Consider the following 26,705-nt stretch of genomic DNA (forward strand, 5'->3'; position numbering starts at 1 on the left):
GCTGCATCTGAATGAGGTGTAGAGATACTCATGTGAGATGTGCTCAGGGGTGGCAGGTGGAGGTAGATGAGGTGTTCAGTAAGTATCTGCTCCCCCACTAGGCAGTGCAGGTTGGTAGTACAGAAATATGCAACTGTGACTTTCCAGTGAGAAGAAATATTTCCATTTGATGAAGTTAATATCAAGGATATGAAGGTCTTCTAAAATTGTTGATTTCAGGCTGAGCACAGTGGCTCATGCTTGTAATCCCAGCACTTTAGGAGACCAAGGCAGGAGAATTGCTTGAGCCCAGGAGTTCAAAACCAACCTGGGCAACACAGTGAGACCCTATCTCTATAAAAAATAAAAATAAAAAAATTAGCTGGGTGTGATGGCATGTGCCTGTAGTCATAACTACTCAGGTGGGAGGATCACTTGAGCCCAGGAGTTTGTGGTTACAGCGAACCATGATTGTGCCACTGCACTCCAACCTGGATGACAGAGTAAGACCCCAATCTCTAAATAAATACATAAAAATAAAAATATATAATTGTTGATTTCAAGTTTGGGAAGGTAAACAGCAAAATATCAGGTGGTGCTACTTGGTTATTGGACCTGGGATTGTGACTGCCCTTATCTTGAGAACACAACAGAAGTAATTAACTTCCTTCCTGCTCTACCCAAGTCAAGGGAGACAAAAGAATTTCCAAAAGATCCAATCTTGACTTTGCAGATAACCTTCAAAGGAAGTAATAGGACAGTAAATTTTGGGAACATGCTCATGAAGTGTCCAGCACATGAGATCATTTATTACAATAATTGCATGAAAGCAGAAATACCTTTTTCTTAGAAAAGAGATCTGAATTCAGATAAGGCAGGAGCAAGAGTAAGAGAACAAGAGCCTGAATGAAACAGTTTGTCCTCTTTTGCCTGGTTGAGAAAGTAAATCAATCCTCTTGCAGGTAGGTGTCAAAGCAGGAAAAGGATATGAGGAATATTGGAAATAACGTCCAAGGATATGTGGAGACGGTCATGGATATGCTACTTCTTGAAATTGATGTTTGTGTAAGATTTCAGAAAGAAACCCACATCTGAGCCAGAGCTTCTCTTGTGGGATTGATTTTGATTTGAACTGGTAGCACAGCTCCCGTGTGAGTGTGAGTGGATGAGGTAGTGCAGGCCTGTTAGGAACTGGGCTGCACAGCAGGAGGCGAGCAAGCAAAGCTTCATTTGTATTTACAGCCGCTCCCCATCACTTGCGTTACTACCTGAGCTCTGTCTGTGGTCAGATCAGCAGTGGCATTAGATTCTCACAGGATCGCAAACCCTATTGTGAACTGCACATGCAATGCCATCAGATCTTGGTTGGGTGCTCCTTATGAGATGCTAAGGCCTGATGATCTGAGGTGGAGCTGAAGCAGTGATGCTAGCACTGGGGAGTGGCTGCTAATTCAGACTAACATTAGCGAGAGGTTTGACTGAACAGAGACCATAATAAATCAATTGCTTGCAGACTCATATCAAAACCCTATCAGTAGGTAGTAAGTGACAATTAAACTGCATCTGGTGGCGGGCTTTAAGTACGAATCTGACACTTATTTTAGTCTGCATGTGGTCTATTATTTTATTTGCCACTTCCATCTGTGCCTCTTTCCTGCACTGAACACTTGTCTCAGTCACAGTTTTGGTAAGTCCACAAGCTAACCCTAGCCAAAATCAGAAAAAAAAAACAAATGCCACTGGAGAGTTTCTTTGAAAAGGGGAAAGACCCAGTGATGAGACAGAAGAAGACTCTAAGACTGCCAACAAAAAGAAAGCTGCATTTAAAAGAAAATACTGAGTCCTACTTAAATTACGAGTTCATTGCAACAGGTGATTCACATTCTCCAAGCCCACTTATATAGTACGTGGTGACCAGATATCCAATGAAGCCATGAAGCCTTCAAAACTGCTTTGCCATATGAAGACCTGCACCCTGCCTTTGGAGTTTTTCAAAAGAAAAACAATGTGAACATGAAGAATAGAAGCAATTATTGAAGGCCAACACTTCATCAAATGTGTCTGCACTGAGAGCATCATTCTTAGTAGCTAACCACATTTCTAAACCTAAGAATCCCATTACTATTGGTGAAGAGTTGATCCTGCCTGCTGCTAAGGACATTTGTTGTGAACTTTTAGGAGAGGCTGCGGTTCACAAGGTGGCACATATTCCCCTTTTGGCTAGGATCATAACAGGCAAATTGATGAAATAACAGAGGATATTGAGGCACAATTGTTAGAGAGGATTAATGAGTAACTGTGGTTCACAATCCAGGTTGACGAGTCTACCAATGTTGACGATAAGGCAACAATGCTTGTTTTGTGTGATATATTTTTCAGGAGGATGGGCATGAGAATGTGTTATGTGAACTTTTGTTGCCAAACAACACCACAGCTACAGAACTATTCAAGCCGTTGAATGATCACATATCAGAAAAACTGAATTGGTCATTTTGTGTCAATATGTGCATGGACAGAGTTGCTACCATGACTGGATGGCTCTCTGGTTTCACTGCTTAGACCAAAGAGGTAGCTTCTGCATGTAAGTCTATGGACTGTGTCATCTATAGAGATATGCTGGTTAGCCGAAAAATGTCATCTGAACTTAACAACGCTTTGCAGAATGTGATTAAAATTATCAACCACATTAAAGTATATGCCCTTAACTCACATCTGTTTGCTCAGCTGCATGAGGAGATGGACACAGAACACACATGTCTTCTCTTATACACAGAAGTGAGATAGCTTTCTAAAGGTAGATCACTGGCCAGAGTTTTTGAGTTACTAGAGCGGCACCAGAGATTTCTTTTAGAAAAACAGTCACCACTGGCTGCACATTTCAGTGACACAGAATGGGTCACAAAATTTGCTTACTTGTGCAACATATTCAACCTGCTCAACAGACTCAATCTGTCACTTTAGGGGAGAATGACAACTGTGTTCAAGTAGGCAAATAAAGTGGCTGCCTTCAAAGCCAAAATGGAATTATGTGAGTGACGAGTGAACATTGGAATTTCTGACATGTTTCAAACATTAGCAGAGATTTTGAAAGAGACTAAGCGAGGGCCTGGTGCATGATCACTTATCTTAGCTTTCAAAAGAGTTTAAGCATTACTTCCAACCACAAAAGACCCCCAAACTGGGAAGGAATGGGTCTGTGAACCATTTCCAAATAAGCCAGATGGGTCAACTGGTTGAGATCACAAATGACAGTGACCTTAAAAGTATGTTTGAGACAACTTCAAATCACGATACCTTCTATATTAAAGTCAAGGCAGAATATCCTAAGATTGATACAAGCGCATCGAAAAGCTTGCTGCCATTTCCAACATCCTGTCTTTGTGAAGCAGGGCTTTCTGCAGTGACAGCAACCAAAATGAGATTATGAAGTAGATTGGACATAAGCAACACACTTCAGGTGTCACTGTCTCCCATCACCCCCAGATAGGACCGTCTAGTTGGAGGAAAACAAGTCAGGGCTCCCACTGATTCTACATTATTGGGAGTTGTATAATTACCTAATCATATATTACAATGTAATAATAATAGACATAAAGTGCACAAAAATGTAATGTGCTTGAATCATCTCGAAACCATCCCCTACTCCTGGTCCATGGAAAAATTGTCTTCCACGAAACTGGCCGCTTGTACCAAAAAGTTGGGGACAACTGATGTAGTACAAAGGGGAAAGAAATAGCTAACATTTGTTGAGCCCCTACTAAGTGCTAACAACTCACTTTTCCCCATTTGATTAACATAACACTGTGCCATAAATATGACTTCCTACATTTTATAGGGGAAAGAATCTGGGGCTCAGAGTAGTGTAAGAACTTGCCCAACTTTACATGCACAGACCGTCCTGTGCATCTCAGGTATGGACCATGGAGACAGGCAGAGCAGGCCTGGGATCTGGCTCTGCCACTAACCAGCCCTGTGACTTGGGAAACCAGTGAAAAGTAGTATCCAGGATGGTCAGTTTTATACGTCAGCTTGGCTAAGCTACTGTCTCCAATTACTCAATCACAGATGCTATTCCAGGCATCGCTGTCCTCAATCAGAGAACGTGTTTTGTAGATGTTGTTAAAGTCCATAATCAATTGCCTTTAAGTAAGGAAGGTTATTCTGGATAATCTGGGTAGGCCTGATTCAATCAGTTAAAAGGACTTGAAAGCAGGGCTAAGGCTTCCCTGAAGAAGAAAGTCCATCTGTGGACCAGCTTCCCTGAGTGCCTCAAATTCCAGCCTGCCTTTCTTAATGGCCTGCCCTATGGATTTTGGACTTCCTTAACCAACCCCACAATCAAATAAACCTACACATAAAAATTCTGAATATCTCTTGCTGGTTTGGTTTCTCAGGTGGAACTCTGATACAGTGCCTCCCTCATGTGTGGTGAAGATTAACTGAAGTCATGGTATTACCAGATGGGAAGCATTTGACATGGTGCTAGGAACATTCAAACAGGTTTGAAACATGGTCATTATTACTGTGAGGACTTGGCAAACACCAGGTTAAGCCTACATCTAATTGGCTCTCAAGCCTGACACTCTACCCAGCACAGACTTGGTCAATAGCTATAGTCACCAGTTCTATCACAAATTCAGTGGGACCTACCACAAACTCAATGTGACCTTGAGCTGGCTGCAAACTCGATGGGCCCTGGCTTCCTTCCTGTAAAGTGAGGGGATTGTGTACCAAATGATTTTTGTATAAACTTCCAGCTCTGATGTTGTCTGGGTCAGTTTTGACCTAATTGATCAGATTGTTATTAGGCCATGTCTACTTCCTCCAGCCACCAGACAAGATTTGTTCCATTACTGGTACATTCAGAGCTCTTCCTTCACAAATGGCCTTCTAATTACTGGGTGGTTTATGGCCCAAGAAAATGCAAACTGAGTTTAATATTAACTTGAGCAGAGCATTCATGTCAATTTAGTTCTAGAGCTCCCACTCTGCCCCAGACGATGGGCCATACAATATATTAAAAAAGCATTAAATCTGGTCCCTGCCCTTAAGGAGCACAGGGAGACCTCCAAAAATCAGGTCCTACTGTGAGGGAGTAGGTAATTAAGACTAAGCACTATAAGAGTTGATAGTAAGGAGGCAGTGAGATCATTCTGGGCTGGAATGATCAGAAAAGCTTAGCAGAAGAGATAGGAATTTAGATAGGTGACATGTGTATGTAAGAGGTAAGAAGGAAGTTAAATCTTCCACTTTTCCAGTGCATCATGCATCTCAAAATCCAATGGGTATGATTTTGGGAGCTCTTTACATTACTGTTTGTCTTTGCTGGCAGAGAATCAAGAAGCAAATGCCATGAGATTTCAGGCTTTCTCTCCTATTCTCCCTGACATCCTCATTAACCACCATTGTTCTGCACAAAGATGAGCATGCACAGTAAGTTCACTACATCACACACATTTATACACACGTATCTGCAGATGCCCTGACAGTCCCATCATTTGTGCATCTGGGGACTCCCATAGTAGAATAAGTTTCATTAAGGTGGGTGGGTCCTAATTAATGTTTCTCTTGTCTACTGCGTATATCTTACCTTCCACAAAGCAGGCCTTCAATAAATATTTATGGAATAAATAAATGAAAGTATAATCACTCTCCAGACTATGGGAGACACAAAGGGAAAGTTTCCCTATCTGAAACTTTCAATGGCATTAAAACCCTAATAACGGTGAGTCTTACACTTTGAAGATTCTTTGATTTTTAATGTCAGCCCAATCTAACTCCCTGCTCCCACTTTTAAAAAAATATTGCTTACATCCTACCATCAGGGCTTCTTATTCAAAGAGCCATTGATAGAACCACAGCCAAAAACTTGCTGGAGCTGAACAACAACAACAACAAAAAAAAAAACAGTGGGTGTAGGTAGAAGAAAAGTTATGCTTGAATGACAAGCAAACACCAGAAGGATTAATTTTACAAGCTCACCTTTGCGATCAGATAAAGGCAGCCTGACTTTTTAAAGACAATATTTATTTTTATCAGTTTAATAAACAGCTCTTAGCAACATTGATAGTCATCCTTCATGGACAAAAACAAAGAAGGCTTATTAACTTAAATTTAAATTGTTCACTAATCTTACTTCAGTTTGCTGCCTCTTTCATGATGATATTTTGCTAAATGAGTCTTAAAAAAAAACTTGGTGATGTGTGTAAACAAGCCAGAAATTCTCAAGACTGTGGTCTAATGAAAGCAAATAAATAGAGTTTACAAAATAATTCAGAACACTGAAAGAGACAGTGTTTGGGATGTAAATATAGATTTCTACAAACAAGCAGCTAATAATCATAAGTCAACATTCATAAGGATCACTCTAAAGACTGGAAGTGAAAAAAATATCCTCTGGATTCAGAAGTCTTCTAGCCAATTGCAAAATAATTCTGTCCATGGAGTTCTAATTTGATGATTATTAACGTTTATATTCCAACAGATTTCTGAAAACATGTATTGAGCACCAGCTATGTGCAATGAGTAGTTCTCAAAACACTGCATCCAATCAATGCAACCAGTCATTACTTATTTGCCAAGGACTGTACTATGAGTAGTATGGATAATGTAATGTACATATGCTGTTTTTGCCTGATCAGCCTCTATGAATTCCCCCTTCTTCTGTTAACAATGCCTGAATTTTCCTTTGGCCAGGCACTCTACTTTATTCCACACGCTGTGCTCAATACGACTGACCTCACCCTCCTAGCTCCAAGGGTCTTCAAGTGATCATGACTTGCTCAGTCCTATTTTGGCCTCAGTGATTGATTTAGAGATGGGCATAAATACAGATTGAAATAGAGATGGGTTTGGTTATATAAGCGAGGTCAATAAGACTAAATTCAGTGGCGGGGGATGTTGCTCAAAAACCTTGGGCAAGAGAAGCTCTCCTCCTGTAGCTTGCAAACTGTGAGGCTGATAAGCAAGACCCTGGTTAGGAAGAGGGTGGAGAGCAAGTCTGACTTTGTGATGGTGCTGCATATCTTCCACTTTCCCCAGGTCTACCCTCTCTTCCTGTCTCTCGGCTGACTACATAAACTCTTCTCTGGCTTCCAAATGGGAGTGCTGACGGAAAAATTGGGTTATTTATTTCCCTCTCTGTGGGGCCTCCTGGGACTGGCTGTGTCTCCCTACTGAAGGCTGCAGCTCTCTCAGGGAACTGTCTCCACACAGCTCTTGGTCTTCAGGTTCCAGCAGCCACTCTTGCTTTGCTCCTTCAGGGTTAGCGACAACAGTGTCCCACTATTACTTAATCTGGTACTTCAATATCCCTCGAATTTCCTAAGCCCCACCCTCATCTTTGTAAGTAGTCTTCTTTTTAAAACCCAACTGGACGGAGCCATCTATTTCCTGCCATAATCCCAACAGATACAATGCCAGCATTTGTGTTCTGGATCTAGACATGCCTAAAGATAGTGACACTCTTGGACTCTTTTCAGTTTCTCAAGCCAGTAAATGCCCTTTTTCCTTAACCCTGTTTGGTTTTTCTGTTGCTTACAACAGAGAGTCCTAATAGAGTCTGCTAGACTATCGAGATCACATAGACTCATACAAGACACTTTTTTAAAGGGAGCGGGCCTTGTTATGGACCGAATTGGGTACCCCCCAAAATTCATATGTGGAAGTCCTAACCCCAAATACACTAGAATATGACTGTATTCGGAGACAGGATATTTAAAGGGGTAAGTTAAAATGAGGCCTTATGGTGAGTCCTAATTCAATATGACTGGTGCCCTTATAAGGAGAAGTGGTTTGGACACAGACATGTTCAGAGGGAAGACCATGTGAAAACACAGGAAGAAGGCAGCTGTCTATGAGCCAGGACAGAGACATTAGAAGAAATCAATCCTGTTGATCCCTTTGTCTGAGACTTCCAGCCTCCAGAACTGTGAAAAAGTTAACTTCTATTGTTTAAGCCACCTGGTCTGTAGTACCTTTTTTTTTTTCTTTTTTGGGGCAGCCCAGGCAGATTCATCTAGGCACCTATGGACTAGAACTGGGGGAGACACTTGTAGAGGCCAGCGGCTGCCTCCAGCAATCTGAGCCAGCATGGCCTCCTAGCTGTGGCTGATATGTCTCTCCCTACATTGGGTCCATTTGCCTTGGCTACTCACTGGCCCATCTTCTGTATTTCCCAGTCCGAAGTAACTGAAACTAACTGACTTGGTTAACTACTGTCATTACCACTGGGTAAGACCTTTGCACAGGCCCACCTCATGGGTTTCTGGCAAGCAATGCATAAGCTGCCTTTGGGTCCTATGCCCACATCTGGTTCCACCAGTGGCTGCCATGTGTCAGGGACAGTTCCCTGATGGTCCCCTGTGTAGAACATGGTGGGGGTGCTCAGCTTCAGTGTGAAAGAGATGACAGACACAGGTGGCATTTGAAAAGTCCAACATTGGGTCCCCTGAGCGAGTGGCATTGCTAATTACATGAAAACATCAATTCCAACACACCCTGCTCAGATTTGGCCTCAGTTTTTACTGTGCAGCCAATTGCTCATTCCAGTCACTCACAAGGCCACTCTCTTGACCTTGAGTTTTGTGAGATTCCCCAGAATCCTTACCCCAGCCACTTGGCTGGCTTGAGTTAGTTTGATGTGAGTTGATGTTACTTTGAAACGAAAAAGGCTTGATTAAAATAGTTTCCAAAGAAAACTGCAATTTGGTCCAGGAAAGAGGGATCTGTTTATGAGTAAACATGAGTGTTACAGATTATTTACAGATTATTCCTGACAATGCCATCAACTGTATGACTGTGCGAGTAGTCAACTCTTCATCTAAATGAAATGGAAGGAAAAACAAACAGTGTTTTCCACATCCCAGGAAGGCTGCCAGAGGTTCTGAAGAAGGTATCTCATGGGTCTTCCACTCCTTTCTCAGGCAGGAATTCTTTTCTTGTAGTTCCTTGATCCCGAAAAGGAAAATTATTTCAAGTTTCCTGAATTGATCAATTGATTAATTGATGTTTTTTACTGCTCTACTGACTTTGCTTTCTTTACTTTGTTTTTTCTTTACTCACTTCCTGACACCTCAGAAGACAGAGGCATCTCTTAGTACAGGATTTAAGTGGATGCAGGATTTCAGTTTCATGGTCCGTGGCACAGATACCATGTGTTCGAAGGTTTAATTCATTTCTGTCTTTGGTCATTTCCCCTTTTGGGGAGTTTGTGGGTAGTACATGGTGTTGGCCTGCGGTGGAACATGAGCTTATAGGGTATTTAGGCTTTCAAGCCTGCTCTGCTGCCCAGTGACCCATCCAGCAGAATGTTTGCCCAGTGGGATTTCACAAGTGCCACAAAACAGTGACTGCTTCCCCTTTTGGCACAGGATGTTGATTTTTGTTAACCTATCTCTGTTCCACCCTTATATGTTTAGCGGGGGTGCTGTTCAGCAAATGTTCTCTTCAGCAAATGTTCTCTCTGTCTCTTTTCCTCACCTATATTAGGAGTATCATAATCTCTCCATTGATGTTGGGGCTGGTCATGGAGTTGTTCTGGCCAATAAATGTGAGCAGAGGCTTTGAATGTGCCTGCACCCTTTGCCTTGACTTCTCAGTCTTTTGTGTTCCTTCCTACTCTACCATTAAGAAGAGCTTGCCCCAGGTAGCCACTGTTCCTCCAATGTGGGTCCCAAAATGAGAGACTCATGGGACAGACCTGAGCCTCACCCACAGCACAGAGCAGGGCTGCTGTAGCTGACCAGCCAACCTGTGGGCAAGAAGTAAATGTTTTGGTACTGCAAACCACTGAGAATTTTTTTTTTTTTTTTTTTTTGAGACAAGGTCTCACTCTGTTGCCCAGGCTGTATTGCAGTGGTGCTATCACAGCTCACTGCAGCCTTGAGCACCTGGGATCAAACAATCCTCCCACCTCAGTCTTCCAAGTAGCTGGGACTACAGGCATGCGCCACCACTCCCAGCTAAACCCAGAAATTGTGCAACATTATCACAACAAAAGCTGATTAATACAGCTGGTAAAGTTTCCCAAGGAAGGGAGGAATGATTCTATTTGGGATTTAAAACTGAGGAAGTAGGTAGGAAAGAAAGTTGAAGGGCTTTTTTGGATAAGGAGGCACTCTATATCCAAAATCAGATTAGAGTATTCCAAACACCACACCCCTGAGAGATGCTAGAAATGTTTCCAAATGACTAGAGTCCAATAAAGTATTCTTTATGCAGTGTTTTATGTCAAACTTTAACAATTAGTGATACTATTAAAACTCAGGCAATGATATGCAGAAAATGGAATCTGGTCCCCTTCCTTATACTATATACAAAAATTAACTCAAGATGGATTAAAAACTTAAAAACTACAAAAAAACAAACAAACAAACAGAAGAAAATCTAGGCAATACCATTCAGGACATAGACACAGGCAAAGATTTCATGACGAAAATGTCAAAAGCAATTACATCAAAAGCAAAAAAATTGACAAATGGGATCTAATTAAATCAAAGAGCTTCTGCACAGCGAAAGAAACTATCATCAGAGTGAACAGACAACCTACAGAGTGGGAGAACATTTTTGCAATCTTTCCATCTGACAAAGATCTAATATCCAGGATCTACAAGGAACTTAAACAAATTTACAAGAAAAAACAACCCCATTAAAAAGTGGGCAAAGGACATGAACAGTCACTTCTCAAAAGAAGACATACATGTGGCCAAAAAAAATATGAAAAAAAGCTCAACATCACGGATCATTTGATAAATGCAGATCAAACCCACAATGAGATACCATCTCATGACAGTCAGAATGGAGATCATTAAAAATCCCAAGAAACAATAGATGCTGGCAAGGTTGCAGAGAAAAAGGGATGTTTTTACACTGTTGGTGGGGATGTAAATTAGTTCAACCATTGTGGACAACAGTGTGGCGATTCCTCAAAGACTTAGAGGCAGAAATACCATTTGACCCAGCCATCCCATTACTGGGTATCTACTCAAAGGAATATAAGTTATTCTTTTATAAAGATACATGCATACATATGTTCATTGTGGCACTATTCACAATAGCAAAGACATGGAATCAACCTAGATGCCCATCAGTGATAGTCTGGATAAAGAAAATGTGGTATATATACACCAATGGAATACTATGCAGCCATAAAAAGAAACGAGATCATGTCCTTTGCAGGCACATGGATGGAGTTGGAAGCCATTATCCTCAGCAAAGTAACACAGGAACAGAAAACCAAACACTGCATGTGCTCATTTATAAGTGGGTGCTGAATGAAGAGAACACATGGACACATGGCAGGGAACAACACACACTGGGGCCTGTTGATGGGGGGTCGGGGGGAGGGAAAGCATCAGACAGAATAGCTAATGGATGTTGGGCTTAATACCTGGGTGATGGGATCATCTGTGCAGCAAACCACCATGGCACACGTTTACCTATGTAACAAACCTGCACATCCTGCACATGTACCCCTGAACTTAAAAGTTGAAGAAAAAAAAACACCTAGGCAAAAATTACAGTCCCAGACAAGGTTCTATAATAAAGAAATACTGGGCTGGGCACGGCGGCTCATGTCTGTAATTCCAGCACTTTGGGAGGCCCAGGCAGGTGGATCAAGAGGTCCAGGAGTTCAAGATCAGCCTGGCCAACATAGTGAAACCCCGTCTCTACTAAAAATACAAAAAAATCAGCCAGGCGTGGTGGCGCATGCCTGTAATCCTAGCTACTCGGGAGGTTGAGGCAGAAGAATTGCTTGAACCCAGGAGGCAGAGGTTGCAGTGAGCCAAGATTGCACCATTGCACTCCAGCCCAGGGGGACAGTGCAAGACTTCACCTCAAAACAAAACAAAACAAAGCAAAACAACAACAAAAAAACAAAAACAAAAACAAAAAAAAACAAGAAATACCTTGGGAATCAGATAGAGATATAGAATCCTAATAAATGTTAGAATCTTATGTTCTAGAATGACCTATGTTAGATCATTTTTATGCAGAATACACAAGTATTAAAGACACACTTTCAACTGTGTTTTTATTATAAATACCTTGAAGATAATTGTTAAAACAGACATCTGAGACAAAAATTAACTTTTATATTTATAGAACAAGATTGAAAAGTTACTTGTTCATTTTTTGAACCATAAGTTTGCACCTGTTAAGATGAATATAGATATAATTAAAATCCTTATTATAACAAAGTTATTAGAGTATGCCAATAATGGATTAACTAATAATAACATTGATATTTATTTCACTCTGATACAAACTATATATTTAATTTCATGTTAAGCAACATTTGATGCAACAAAATACCTACATAATATAATAATACAGACTTACCCATGGAGTTTGTTTTCATAGGAGCTGATCTATGTTCAATGACTGCAAACCACTTGAACAAGTTTTACTTGTGTTTCTAAGAGACAGGTTTTAAATAACATTTATTTTTTATTTTTTTCCTGGCATTAACTGGGGACAATCTTGCCACAATTTTCCTTTACAAAACTACAAGGAAGGAACACTCAATATGATGTTCATGTAAAATATAATTACCTACTTTTCTTCCTTTACAACATGTACTCCAGAGACAGGATGACAAGCCAGAGGCACATAACGCACTGTCTGTCATTAATAACAAGTACATGCTTTTGAAATGATTTCACAGTAATGCTTATTCAAAATATCATTTATTTGCTTTTTTGACTATTTTATGAACATTATAGCCCCTCAACAAGTATTGCCTGTTTCAAAGCAATGATATAAATAGGAATTTATTGAATTAAAAAGTTCACCAGGTACAATTATAAATATTATAAATTTTGACATGTACAAAGTGTCATCTCTGCGCATGACTCTCAAGGTGGTCATGCTGGCAGGCTCATGGTGCCTAAGTCAGGATTGCGGAGAGCTGGGAGAAGCAGTTCTCCACCTTGCCCTAAAGAAGTGTCACTCATCCTTCGAGGCTCTTCTCAAAGACCACGTGTTAAATGAAGTCTTTCTAGTGTCTCCTGAGAAGACATGATCTTTTCCTTCTTTAAATCCATAGAGCATCTATTTTTTCTCTATAATAATGCTAATAATAGTAAAAATCACACTGCCTTGTGATTGAGAACTTCCACTATGCTTCAACCATGCTAAAGTCTACAGCCGGTGTCTTTCTTCTTTGCAGCACTCCTGCAAAGAAGGTATCATTCTTTCCTTTTTATAGATGAAAAAATTGGGCAAGGATTGGAATTCAGGCTATAACTGCAAAAATGGTAGTCTTAACAATGCTGTTTTCACACTTGATTTGCAGTTAAGTTATGTGTGACTTTTGTCTCCCTGCTCTGTGGGCTAGTTCTTCCAGCAGGTACTACTGTGACCCTTTCTATCCCATGGGAGTGTTTTGCATAGTAAGTAGTCAACAAAAATAAATACTGTATTTCTTTCTTTCTTTTTTTTTTTTTTTTAGACAGGGTTTTGCTGTGTTGCTCAGGCTGGAGTGCAGTGGGGGCAATCATAGCTCATTGTAACCTCAAACTCCTGGGCTCAAGTGATCCTCCTTACCTCAGTCTCCCAACTAGCTAGGACTACAGGTGCATGCCACCATGCTCAGATAATTTTTTAAAATTTTTGTAAAGATGCGGTCTCTCTCTGTTGTCTGGGCTGATCTCCAACTCCTGGACTTGGCCACCCACAGTGCTGGGACTACAGGCCTGGCTCTTGTGTCTGCCCAGTACTGTATTCCATATATTCCAAACAGCAGCCCCTTTTTCTACATTTAAGCGTCTCTTAAATTGGAACATATGTTCAATTGATGCCTCGATTTATATAGTAGTCTTTTCTTGTTTTCTTTTCCTAAAAAGCTGTTATTAGTTCTTAGTTGTCTCCTAACCAATTTAATCTTAGAATCAAGGAGTAGTTATGCAAATAAACTGGGTAGAACTCAACCTAATGAGAGACTGCTCAGAGAAAAGATCAAGGTAGATTTCTTTAGGTTTCTTAATGCTATAAGAGTATTAAGCACAGGGGGAATTCAGAGGATAATCCATCTGAAAATGAAAGGGAAGGTGATCAGAGGTGGCTTAGTAAAAATGAAGAGTCAGTGGTTTCAAGGGAACATACAGATAACGGCAAGATCTCATGAGGAGAGGACACTTCCAAACGCTTGCTTTCCTGTGATTCTAACACCAAGGTAAGCCAGAAACACAGCTGGAGGGTAACTGGAGGGATTCTGAGTCCATCTGACCCTGAACTACACATAATCCATTCCCCGATATCCTGGCAATAGCATTATAATGAGAAAGATCACATTAAAATGCTGCAAACAGTCTTTGAGGCAAGGACATGGGTAGTCTGTCTTCTAGCTGTAGCTGTAGCTGTAGCTTGAAGAAGTCCTGGGAGAGTTTGGTAGTGATGCCATGAAGGGAAATGATTAAGTATAAAATGATTAACAAGCCTGTGTTCTTTTGTCTCCTCCTTGTCTTGCTTTAGACATCGGCCTTATGGCTTGAAAGGAAATGTAGTAGATCATTTTTTTTTTCCATTAGCTTAGCTTGGAAGAGAAGAGAGAACTTTAAGTAGCTGTGTTGGGGAGAGCGGCTTGGGGTTCAGGGAGGTTTCATGTTTTTATAAATAGAAAAGACTTGAGAATGTTTTTATGCTGAGAAGGGAGAGCGAGAAATGAGAGAGAGAGAGAGAGAGACAGAGACAGAGACTGTGGTAGAAATTAGCTAAAGGGAATAATTGAAGGAGCAAGTTCTCAAAAGTAGCAGTATTAAATGGGGGCTCAGGTCACATAGAGAGGTATTATCCTTGGTCTGAGAGAGAATGCCTTTCCACTGAGCTGCAGGAAGGTGTTAAGAGTGGGCACAGATGTGGATGTATTTAGAGTAGGGTAGGGTTGAAATTGAAAAAGGGAATAGTTAATGGTTTCTGAGTTTTTTGCGGAGGAGATGAGGCTCACCACTAAGAATGAGAGGGACACAAATGAAAGGCTTCCAGAGATTGGTGAGAGTTTGCAATGAGTGTGCAGTGGACAGTGAGAGAACTGCCCTGTGCTGAGGGCATAATTGAGATTGGAGACTGTCTTGGTCCATTTATGCTACTATAGCAAAGGACCACAGGCTGGGTCATTTATATATAACAGGATTTTGTTTCTCACAGTGCTGGAAGCTGGGAAGTCTAAGACTAAGGCACTGGCCTTGGTGAAGGCTGCTCTGCTTCCAAGGTGGTGCCTTATGGCCACATCCTCTGGAAGGGTCAAACGCTGTGTCCTCACATGACAGAAAAGCAAAAGAGCAAAAGGGGCTAGTTTCTTCCAGCCCTTTTATAAGGCACTAATCCATTCATGAGTGATATGGTTTGGCTGTGTCCCCACTCAAATTTCATCTTGAATTGTAATCCCCATAATCCTCACATGTTGTGGGAGGGATCCGGTGGGAAGTGATTGGATTATGGAGGTGGTTTCCCTTATGCTGTTGTTGTGATAATGAGTGTGTCTCATGAGATCTGATGGTTTTATAAGCGTCCGGCATTTCCCCTGCTCCCACTCGCTCCGTTCTGCCACACTGGGAAGAAGGTGCCTGCTCCTCCTTTGCCTTCTGCCATGATTGTAAGTTTCCTGAGGCCTCCCCAGCAATGCAGAACCATGAATCAATTAAACCTCTTTCTTTATAAATTACCCAGTCTTGGGTCTTTCTTCATAGCAGCGTGAAGACAAACTAATACAATGAGTGATTTAGTCACTCTGCAAAAGGCCCCACCTCTCAGTACTACCACAATGAAGATTAAGTTTCAACATATGAATTTTGTAGAACTCTCAGGCCACAGCAGAGACCACTTGTACTTGGCGTGGTCTGTATGGCATTATGTGTTTCTGCAATTGTGACTATTTGGGGGTAAAGAAAAAGGAGAAGAGACAGATTTCTATCATGGGTGGAGAAAGTAGAAAAGTTTTCTGAGACAGAGACTCACTGGGAAAGTTAGACCAATATTAGCAGCAGTCTTTTGGAATGTAGGTCTTCACAGTGTGTCTCATGTTTGGTTTAAAGCACTTCCAAAATATCAGACAGTTATGTCTGAATGGAATCACACAAATGTATCACGAAGTCAAATATAATTTTTTTTTTTTTTAGTTTCTAAAATGTGTGGGTTCTTGTTCCTATATATAACTTTCTGTTCTTCAGAGAAGAGCCACATAGAAAGGGCAGGCATTGGTCTTATAGGGATCACCTTATAGGATCTAAACCAATACATGCCTTACACTTTACTTACAATACAGCATAAAATGCCTCTGCTAATGACTTGAGCATTGTGTTTCTTGGATCTGTGATCACTTATTATTTTAACCTTTCAAAGCCAATAGTTTTAGAGCATTCAACTCAAACGACTTTTATTGGCCTGGAAATGTTTTATTGCAGTTTGGCTGACATTTTCTTTTAATAATGTCATTAGCACTCCTTAAAAATGAATTCTGTTGGGGTATATAGTACTACCTTTGTTTTGAGAAAATGTTATGATTTTGTTTGTACATGAGGTGGGTCCCATAGCTACAAACATTAGCAATATGTTTCTGATTCAACAGAAAGATCTTTCTGATTCTACAGGCACGCTTCCATTTCTATTAAGCATAAATAGTTTGGTTGGTAAAAAGACCCGAATTTAGATGTACTTTTTCAGAATTAAGTTGAATTCTCAACATCTTTTAAGAGGGAGTCCAGCTTCTGAGTCACTAGGCTTAATTAAAATCTCTAGCACTTAGTCAGTTTATATGCCTTACCTATTTTGTAGGTTTAGCTCTCGTAACTGTTGTTATGCTGACACTGGTTTCCAGTGGGTCACTGAAATCAAATTAATGCAGGCCTCTGAAAAGTCAGACATCAATTGTGTTCATTCATTAAGATTCCCATATTTTAAAAGGTACAAAATAAGGAAAAGTGATTCTGTTTAACCTTGAAGTATCCTGAATGGATGGACATAGACTACGAGCATTTTAGTGGAAAAATAAAAATTATTTGTAAGAAAAATCCTAAAGAACAAAAACCAAAAGCAAAATAAGAACAAAATTCCTTTCTATACCAATTCTTTTCTGAATACGTAAAGACTCAAGGTCCAAACTCCATTTCCTAGGCCTTTGGAAATGCTTTTAGAGCGTACTCAATACTGTACATTCTGTACTACTATCGAGAGCACTCAATTTCTTGTGCATTCAATTTCTTGGTCCAAGTGCGGTAGTTCTCAAAGTCTGGTGTCCACCATCAGGCCTAGGAACCTGCTAAAAGTGTCAAGTCTTGAGCCTCACTCTAGACATCCCAAACTAGAAACTTGATGGGTGGGGCCTGCAATTTGTGTTTTAACAAGTCCTCAGCCGGGCGCAGTGGCTCACTTCTGTAATCCCAGCACTTTGGGAGGCCGAGGCGGGTGGATCACGAGGTCAGGAGTTCAAGACCAGCCTGGCCAAAATGGTGAAACTCCATCTCTACTAAAATTACAAAAAATTAGCTGGGCGTGGTGGGGGGGGTGCCTGTAAGCCCAGCTACTAAGGAAGCTGAGGCAGAGAATTGCTTGAACCCGGGAGACAGAGGTTGCAGTGAGCTGAGATCGTGCCACTGCACTCCAGCCTGGGCAACAGAGTGAGACTCCATCTCAGAAAACAAAACAAACAAACAAACAAAAAACAAAAACAAGTCCTCCAGGCACTCTTTGGTTTGCTCTAAAGTTTGGGAACTTCTGGCCTAGAGCATTGTTCTCAAGTATTTGTGTACACCTACACCACAAGCTCCTGGAGAAGCTTGACTTAACATGAGTCTCTCACTCAGGCCGTGAGATTTGGAGGCAGTAAATGCAGGAAGCTGTGTGGGAATCTGTATATATATATATATAAAGTAGGTGATTCTGGTGCAGGTGGTCTGTAGAACACAATTTGAGAAATTCTGCCTTGAAGTGGAATTTAAGTGTTGACAAAATTAGCATTTCCCCCCACAAAATCCTCCTCCATAACTAAGCAAAAACCTTTGAACTCTGACTTACAAATATCTATAGCTTTCACTTAGCCTGCAGAGTGCCTGCTTCTGAAGAGCTATGCAGGCTTCCCTCATCACTGCCATAGGGGACTGAAGCTTCTGTGTGCTCCAGGTGTGAGGCTTTGCCTGCCTCTGCTACAGGTGTGCACCTGTTTCAACACAGGGATGTATGCTCAAAGGATGCGGCATAACCCACACCTCCACAGAATGTACAGTATTGAGTATGCTCAGCCAAGACAAAACACAAGGAGAGATGTCATTTTTATTTGCCCTGAGATGATAGCTGGAGGAAGACTGCTTTGAGCAAAGAGGTTTGATCCCTGCATATCCTGCCAGAGGAATACCCTGTTCTAAGCAAGGTGACCTTTCAAGCAAGTTTTGAGAATTACTGATTTAGTATGCAAGGTATGCATAAATATATCTAACTGTGATTTGGGGTCAGACACACACTGCATATCTTTTTTCCATTGAACCTTTTATAGATCAGAGGTGAAAAAAGAGATTTTTTAATGCAGAAAGGTGAAGTTTGTGATGGCAAAAAAAGGGATTACTTGTGATTTTATTAAATCAGTCATATGTTTTCTTCAAGGTATTGGGACCAAATTCATGCATTAATAACATTACTTTGTTTTCATTGTATTTGTTTTTATTGTCATCTGACATTTAAGGCAATTAATACTGTATTTCTACTTATGTTAATAATAAAAAATACCTTTAAATAATTTTATTCCAGTAAAATGTATGAATTAATTTAAAGGAAAATGTTAAGTAAATATTAGTGCAGATGGCAATATTCTGAAGATGCCACATGAATAATCAAAGTGTGGGAAACCCTGACATTATTTTCATGAGTTCAGCATAATCCATTTTACCACTTTTCCAATGCTGAGCTTTATATTTGTTTTCTGTTATAAACAGTGCTTCAAAAAACCTCTTGTAGCTAAATATTTTTCATATCCATAATGGTTCTCTTAGGAGAATTCACAGATGTGGAATTGTTGGAAGAAAGGGCAATAATTATATTATTTTAAAGTTTAAAATTAGTGTCCATTAACCATTTCCCTAAGATTTTATGAAGACATTTAGGAAGTTAGTAAAGCAGTATTTATGACCTACGGGAATACTTTCTTCCTTGTTACTCAAAGGGTTGCTTAAGGCAGTGGCCTTCAAGTGTGTTCTGGGACCAAATGACAATTTCTCCCCAACCAGCAAAGCCCTGTGGTGGGGAAAAGGCTTGGTGGAAGATCTGGTTTGTAGTTAATGTTAAGTAACCTTTCCACTTAATTAGCTTTGTGATCTCGTGCAAGACACAACTTCTCTAAGCTATAATTTTCTCATCCAGAAAATTATACTGAAAATAATACTTTGTTTATCTCACCAAGTTGTGAAGATTAAATAGAGTGATATGTGTGAAAATAGCTTGTAAATGAAGCATGATGTAAAATGTTATTGGTATTATGAAAGCCCAATATATGTTCTCCTCTTGAGAGATTCTTAAAGCACAATTCTCTGACTTCACAGATACGTCGTCTGATGCAATACAGATACTTTTTAGTATCATATGGGGTTAGCGTCTAGAAAAAGTGAAGGGTATGAAATAATGAAGAATGAAATTCCAGTGAGACTCTATTTCTTTACAGATTGCTCCTCCCTGTCCCTTACTCAACACTAGAACCTGGTATAGCGCTGTAATCAATACTCTGTGTGTGTGTGTGTGTGTGTGTGTGTGTGTGTGTGTGTGTGTGTGTGTGTGTGTGTGTTTTAGACAAGGTTTCATTCTGCCGTCCAGGCTGGAGTGCAGTGGTGCAATCTCAACTCATTGCAGCTTCGATATCTTGGGTTTAAGCGATCATCCCCTGTCAGCCTCCTGAGTAGTTAGAACTACAGGCACGCACAACTACGCCCAGCTAATTTTTGTATTTTTTGTAGAGATAGGGTCTCACTATATAGCTCGGGCTGGTCTCAAACTCCTGGGCTCAAGTGATCCTCCCACCTCAGCCTCCCAAAGTGCTGGGATTACAGGCATGAGCCATCTCGCCCTGCCAACACTAACTCTGGACTTTCATTTGAGCTTTGCTGCTTATCATCAAATCTCAATGAAAACATTAGTTGCTCAGAAGTCACCTTACTTGTTAATCTAGAAATGGTCTGGTGGCTCAGGATTTCTGAGTCTGGGCTGGGACCAGAGCCAGCTACTCCTGGCACCTGTGTTGCTGGGGAAACATGATCTTCACTGAGACTCTGTTCTCTTCCCATAATGTACATTATCCAAATGGTCTCTTGTTGTGGGTGGATTCGGGTAAAAATTGTCTTCACCACGTGGGGCCTCAGTTTCCTCATCTGCAAAAAAAAAGGAGTTAGATGAGAATCTGGTCACTAGCCGGTCTTCTAGGTCTCTCCCCACAGTTAAGATCCCATAATTCTGCAGGTCAGTTTATGACCTGCAAAGGGATTCTTCCCTGAGGGCCCTCACAAGGTTTTGAATGGCAGAGCAAATGGAAATGGGGGAATGTCCTTCCCAACCTCCCACCATGGGCAGGAGAGGAAGTGTTGTCCAAGAGGGCCTCAGCTGGACCATCTGGAGGAGTGAGGATTCCACTCTGTGACATCACAATATCCAGCCCAGGTTTGACCTTGACAACTGGGAAGGAGAAATAACAGGAGGCGCAGTTACTGATATAGCCAAGGTGGGACACTACTGGAGGGAGCTAGAAGGGATCAGCCAGCCATGCCTCCAGTTCAGGTACTTGGCATTGCTAAGCTCAGAACAGGACTTGCCAGTGTCTAGATGAAAAAGAGGAGAGATCTCAAGGTGAGTGTGTCTCCAAGCTTAAGAAGAATAGTATAAGCACAGACGGCTTGTGCCCCAGCTGCGTTAGGGTAATGTAAGGTTCCACACGAGCAGAAGCAGAGCTGGGCGCATCTTGCCAACAGCCAGGCTGCTTGCCATGAAGCCGGACGGTGAGGACATTTCCGAGGCTGTAGTCCACTTGTGCTGCTGGTGATATATTTCTATTTAGAGGTTTTTTTCTTTCAATAGCTCCTCCCCGGATGACAGGGTAGAGTAAACAAAAATAAGTTAACTAAGGAAGTATTTTAATAGAAGCCAGTACAAAAACAAACAAAAGTAATAAAAGGTGCAAAGTTGTATTATGGGTTAGCAAGCAAGACTGACTCTAAGGTCAAGTTTTGAAAGTTCAAATCTTGAAAGGCAAAAGGATACCCCTATAAAGAGTAAAAGAGAAGGGCCTTTTGGTTGAGAAGTAAGTAAAACAGCTCTGCTGGAACATATACCGGACCCCCCACCCCGCCCCCAGCAACTCCTGCCAGTGAAATCATTGCTGGGGATGCGGACAGTTCTGTTTTCTTTACCTTGCCTTGGGGTTTTGGCTTCTACAATACTTGTTTCTTCCTGGAGTCTTGGGGCCCTGAGAGGCTCTGAGTGACGGCAAAGAACTGTTCTGTTTACCAGTGGGGCGGAGCATGGGGCCAGCGCCAGGCCCTGACTCATCCCCATGTGGACTCCCTTGGGTCTTAGCACACTGCGACCCCGGAGTTGGAGCACAGGACAGCTCAGGCAGGCACGCTGAGCTCTGCCTGCAAGGTCAGAGTTGATGGCGATGCTCCCTCAGTGGGAGTAAGAGTCCATGTTCTGACAGGTAGGTCAGTTACCCACAGGGGACCCCAACAGCCATCGACAAGAAGAGGAGGAGATGGATTCTCTATCCACAGGACACAACTCTAACTCTCCTTGGCCTCCAACACATCACGAATAAATATATCACAGCAGTAAGGTCAATACTCTCACACTCTATGAAAGTAGTAATAGTCCCCAAAGCATGTAAAACTGAGAGATCCAGATAAAAGCAAAATATACTTGCACATAAACTTCATAGCACACATTCAACTTCTGTACAGAAGTCACTGTGATTTTCACAATTAGGTTATGATCTAATCATAACCACTTAAGACTTGAACATTAAAATCTCATTGGCCCAGTTTTTAGGCTTCCTTCATTGATAGCCATTGAAAACTAAGTTTAAGCTGAACCTCAGATAATACCCACAAAACACAGAATGTCCTAACTCATCTCCATTTGCATTTGTTGACTGTAACGTTCCCTGATCCTTGTGTTAGTCACATGCTGCTGCAGCCTGTCGCATACTGCAGAATTTTAGAGTCGGAGGGGAACTAGAAGATCATCCATTCCACAGCTTCGTTTCCAGGAGAAACCACACAGAGAAGTGTCTCAGCTAAGGGTATCAAGCTAGTTAGTGCTGGGGACTAAAGTTTAAGCCCCCTCACTCTTAGCCTGGTGGCCTCTCCAATACACTCTGCCCCACAATGAATGAATGTATTGGTTCATATTTGAACTAACTCTTTGATTTTCTAAGTTAGAATATTCTAAAAGGAGGAAATCTCATTTATCACCTTGGTGTGGTTATTGGTAAAAGCAGATATTCTCCTAGCCTCTGCACCTCCATACAAGATAAGCTTTGGTCAATGACAAGAAAAAGCACTGAAGACCCCATTCAAAACACTGAGATAACAGTGAAAATAAAACCAGGGAAATTGACTAGCTACTGTAAATTGAGGGCTGATTAGAAGTAATCCTTTTTTTCTTAAAAAAACATGTATACAATTTACCAGATTTTTACTTTATAATAAATATACGGTCTTCCTGTGGCCTTGTCTTTTCCTGTTTAGGTAGATAATACTTTGTTTATGAATGTGTGTGTGTATACCCTTGAATGTACAGATGAGTAAACACTTTATCTGGCAGGTGTGGGGCTGGCTATTACATCCATCCGTGGTATCCGACCTACACTTACTTACCTAATATATCTTCTATATGAGCCTTCTGTGACTTATCCCATGAATTAATATTCTATTTGGAATTAACATGATAGTGTAGGAGGAGCCTCCTTAGACTTGTCCAGGGTTTGACATACATGAAGCTATATATGTCTTGCATCCGTAATTAATCTGCAAGTTTGAGCCCAGGCAGTCCCTGGGTGCAGGTAGTCAGCGTTTTTCCAATTAAATTTATTGCAAATGTACTAATATCAGCCCAAAGATCCAAATTCTGAAAGAAAATGAAATGAAATGAAGAATTTTTAAATATAAATAGAGACCTAACTTTTATAGTCATCAGCGCCATCATTAACCTTAGAGATGTCTGGTAAGTATTTTCTAGGCCATTAGATTGTTTTTTAGCCAACTAAAATGTGTACTTCCTGTAAGGATTTTCCATATGTTTCTGGTATTACATGCAGGTTGCCTTTAATAAAAGATAATTATGAAGCAATTACCAACAAGAAGGAGCATAAGAAAGAGCATTCCATCATGGCATAGGCTTTACACAGTTGTTGTAATAACTTTCAGCTTCCTTATTAATTTTAAAAGTTGTGTAATATACTGAGTAATTTTACACACACTACAGTGTATAACTGCAGAAGAAAGCTAATTGTGAAAAACAGAGGGATAAAAGAAGTTTTAGTTTCAGGATTCTTTTTTTTTTTTTTTTTAATGTTTTTTTTTTATTATTATACTCTAAGTTTTAGGGTACATGTGCACATTGTGCAGGTTAGTTACATATGTATACATGTGCCACGCTGGTGCGCTGCACCCACTAACGTGTCATCTAGCATTAGGTATATCTCCCAATGCTATCCCTCCCCCCTCCCCCGACCCCACCACAGTCCCCAGAGTGTGATATTCCCCTTCCTGTGTCCATGTGATCTCATTGTTCAATTCCCACCTATGAGTGAGAATATGCGGTGTTTGGTTTTTTGTTCTTGCGATAGTTTACTGAGAATGATGGTTTCCAATTTCATCCATGTCCCTACAAAGGACATGAACTCATCATTTTTTATGGCTGCATAGTATTCCATGGTGTATATGTGCCACATTTTCTTAATCCAGTCTATCATTGTTGGACATTTGGGTTGGTTCCAAGTCTTTGCTATTGTGAATAGTGCCTCAATAAACATACGTGTGCATGTGTCTTTATAGCAGCATGATTTATAGTCCTTTGGGTATATACCCAGTAATGGGATGGCTGGGTCAAATGGTATTTCTAGTTCTAGATCCCTGAGGAATCGCCACACTGACTTCCACAATGGTTGAACTAGTTTACAGTCCCACCAACAGTGTAAAAGTGTTCCTATTTCTCCACATCCTCTCCAGCACCTGTTGTTTCCTGACTTTTTAATGATTGCCATTCTAACTGGTGTGAGATGATATCTCATAGTGGTTTTGATTTGCATTTCTCTGATGGCCAGTGATGATGAGCATTTCTTCATGTGTTTTTTGGCTGCATAAATGTCTTCTTTTGAGAAGTGTCTGTTCATGTCCTTCGCCCACTTTTTGATGGGGTTGTTTGTTTTTTTCTTGTAAATTTGTTTGAGTTCATTGTAGATTCTGGATATTAGCCCTTTGTCAGATGAGTAGGTTGCGAAAATTTTCTCCCATGTTGTAGGTTGCCTGTTCACTCTGATGGTAGTTTCTTTTGCTGTGCAGAAGCTCTTTAGTTTAATTAGATCCCATTTGTCAATTTTGGCTTTTGTTGCCATTGCTTTTGGTGTTTTGGACATGAAGTCCTTGCCCACGCCTATGTCCTGAATGGTAATGCCTAGGTTTTCTTCTAGGGTTTTTATGGTTTTAGGTCTAACGTTTAAATCTTTAATCCATCTTGAATTGATTTTTGTATAAGGTGTAAGGAAGGGATCCAGTTTCAGCTTTCTACATATGGCTAGCCAGTTTTCCCAGCACCATTTATTAAATAAGGAATCCTTTCCCCATTGCTTGTTTTTCTCAGGTTTGTCAAAGATCAGATAGTTGTAGATATGCGGCATTATTTCTGAGGGCTCTGTTCTGTTCCATTGATCTATATCTCTGTTTTGGTACCAGTACCATGCTGTTTTGGTTACTGTAGCCTTGTAGTATAGTTTGAAGTCAGGTAGTGTGATGCCTCCAGCTTTGTTCTTTTGGCTTAGGATTGACTTGGCGATGCGGGCTCTTTTTTGGTTCCATATGAACTTTAGTTTTTTCCAATGCTGTGAAGAAAGTCATTGGTAGCTTGATGGGGATGGCATTGAATCTGTAAATTACCTTGGGCAGTATGGCCATTTTCACGATATTGATTCTTCCTACCCATGAGCATGGAATGTTCTTCCATTTGTTTGTGTCCTCTTTTATTTCCTTGAGCAGTGGTTTGTAGTTCTCCTTGAAGAGGTCCTTCACATCCCTTATAAGTTGGATTCCTAGGTATTTTATTCTCTTTGAAGCAATTGTGAATGGGAGTTCACTCATGATTTGGCTCTCTGTTTGTCTGTTGTTGGTGTATAAGAATGCTTGTGATTTTTGTACATTGATTTTGTATCCTGAGACTTTGCTGAAGTTGCTTATCAGCTTAAGGAGATTTTGGGCTGAGACGATGGGGTTTTTGCGGTTTTGAAGTTTCAAATCTCTCCAGTAAAATGAAACACAGGTATGCCAAGCAAACTTTTGAAATGTTTTCTCTTGAATTACCGGAGAAGATGCAGCCTTGACAAGTTTTATTTAAGAGGCTTGGAAGGAAAAAAAGCAAAAGGAAGCTACCTCTCTGAAGATCCTGAGAGAGCAGAGTCTCCTCTTGCTGCCGTCCCCTGAGGCGCCTTGGCAGGCGGCCACACTGGATCTCCGACACGCGCAGGACACTGCCTGTCATCCCAGCCCAGCCCCCATGCCCACTCTCCCAAGAATTGTGCAACAGGGCCTTTGTAACCTGAGGCCTGTGAAGTCTGTGGAGGAATGTGACCCAGAGCCAAGGGGCGTTGGTGCCACCAGGGCTGAGAAGGAGCTCTCCTGCTGTTTACCCTGCTATCCCATGGGAACCTCAGAAGGGGGAAGGTTATGCTCTAAAATGCATGGGGAGTCAAGTCCTTGGCACAGCTGTGAAGCAAGCACTCTAGTTAGTGTCTTTTCCCCTCATCTTTGCTGACCTCCGGAGGCATGCTTCATGCTGCTCCAGAGAGTAGAACCCAATGTGCTTTAATTTTTATTGTATTTGTATAAATATATGGGGTACAAGTGCAATTTTTAAAAATGCATAGATTGTGTAGTGGTCAAGTTTGGGCTTTTAGGATACCCATCACCTGATCCCCTCATCCTCCTTTCAAGCCACTCCTCGTCCTCCTCCTCTTAATTGTGTCTCCTACTGAAAGCTACAAGTTGTGGTCCCATTATTCCAATGCCCTGTAAGGGTAAAGGGTATCCTGCTGTCTGGGGAGCAGGGATCCATATTAAATGTGATGTGGATGGTAGAGTGCCAGGCACTGGTGGCAGGACAGCCCCGGAAATCTTTGAGATTCATTGATTTACAAAACCAGCTTCCTGCCTCCTCTCCTCACCTCTTCCATAGACATCTTCCTCCAATATGACAAGTACACAATCTGGCCACCATAATACTTGGGGTTGTCCCGTCTCTTCTGCCTGGGGAAAATGTTACGAGCTGAGTCATGAATACTGTCCTTTTAAGTTACCCAAACATCATGATGGCCACACAAATGGAGCTCTAACCAAAAGGAAGTGAAAGATTCACTCTCAGTCTTGCCATTTAAGTGGTGTGGAGTACTATGGCATGTAATTCACTATAAATGAAAGTTCCACATTTTTATATTACCAATATTGTTGTCACAAAAGGTGGTCTCAGGAAAACAGACGTTTTAGCCAGTTGAG

General features: G+C 41.1%; 1 protein-coding gene and 1 long non-coding RNA gene across 10 annotated transcripts in view, besides 2 other annotated features; one reads left to right on the top strand and one right to left on the bottom strand.

Moving 5' to 3' along the window:
* Window positions 1–20,572, bottom strand: part of LOC105375883 (uncharacterized) — a 41,410-nt gene extending 20,838 nt beyond the window's left edge. For 2 of the 6 annotated variants that reach the window (XR_007060946.1, XR_007060945.1), the window contains exons 1-4: window positions 20,426–20,572; window positions 20,114–20,324; window positions 16,742–16,826; window positions 12,322–12,397 (exon numbers count right to left, since the gene is read on the bottom strand). This is a non-coding gene — a long non-coding RNA (uncharacterized LOC105375883). Of the gene's footprint in view, window positions 1–12,321; window positions 12,398–16,741; window positions 16,827–20,113; window positions 20,378–20,425 lie in introns of those variants that run through there. The other 4 variants (XR_929008.3, XR_007060944.1, XR_007060947.1 and 1 more) reach the window with 4 other exon arrangements.
* Window positions 14,060–14,119: an enhancer, noted in NCBI's record as "active region_27470". NCBI's record gives its function as "activates an Ori minimal core promoter by ATAC-STARR-seq in GM12878 lymphoblastoid cells {active_cell/tissue: GM12878}" and the evidence as "EXISTENCE:reporter gene assay evidence [ECO:0000049][PMID:35858748]".
* The window catches only part of DNAJC5B (DnaJ heat shock protein family (Hsp40) member C5 beta), an 86,268-nt gene continuing 73,631 nt past the window's right edge, over window positions 14,069–26,705 (top strand). For 3 of the 4 annotated variants that reach the window (NR_146171.2, NM_033105.6, XM_011517620.3), the window contains exon 1: window positions 20,644–20,796. The gene's annotated coding sequence lies outside the window, so the exon portion shown is untranslated. Of the gene's footprint in view, window positions 14,156–20,643; window positions 20,797–26,705 lie in introns of those variants that run through there. The other variant, NM_001349432.2, reaches the window with a different exon arrangement.
* Window positions 25,545–25,839: a silencer, noted in NCBI's record as "tiled region #3041; HepG2 Repressive DNase matched - State 8:EnhW". NCBI's record gives its function as "represses a minimal TATA promoter and a strong SV40 promoter by Sharpr-MPRA in HepG2 cells {active_cell/tissue: HepG2}" and the evidence as "EXISTENCE:reporter gene assay evidence [ECO:0000049][PMID:27701403]".

The sequence above is a fragment of the Homo sapiens genome, chromosome 8 (genome assembly GCF_000001405.40).
Source record: "Homo sapiens chromosome 8, GRCh38.p14 Primary Assembly".
In the NCBI taxonomy this organism is placed as follows: Eukaryota; Metazoa; Chordata; class Mammalia; order Primates; family Hominidae; genus Homo; species Homo sapiens.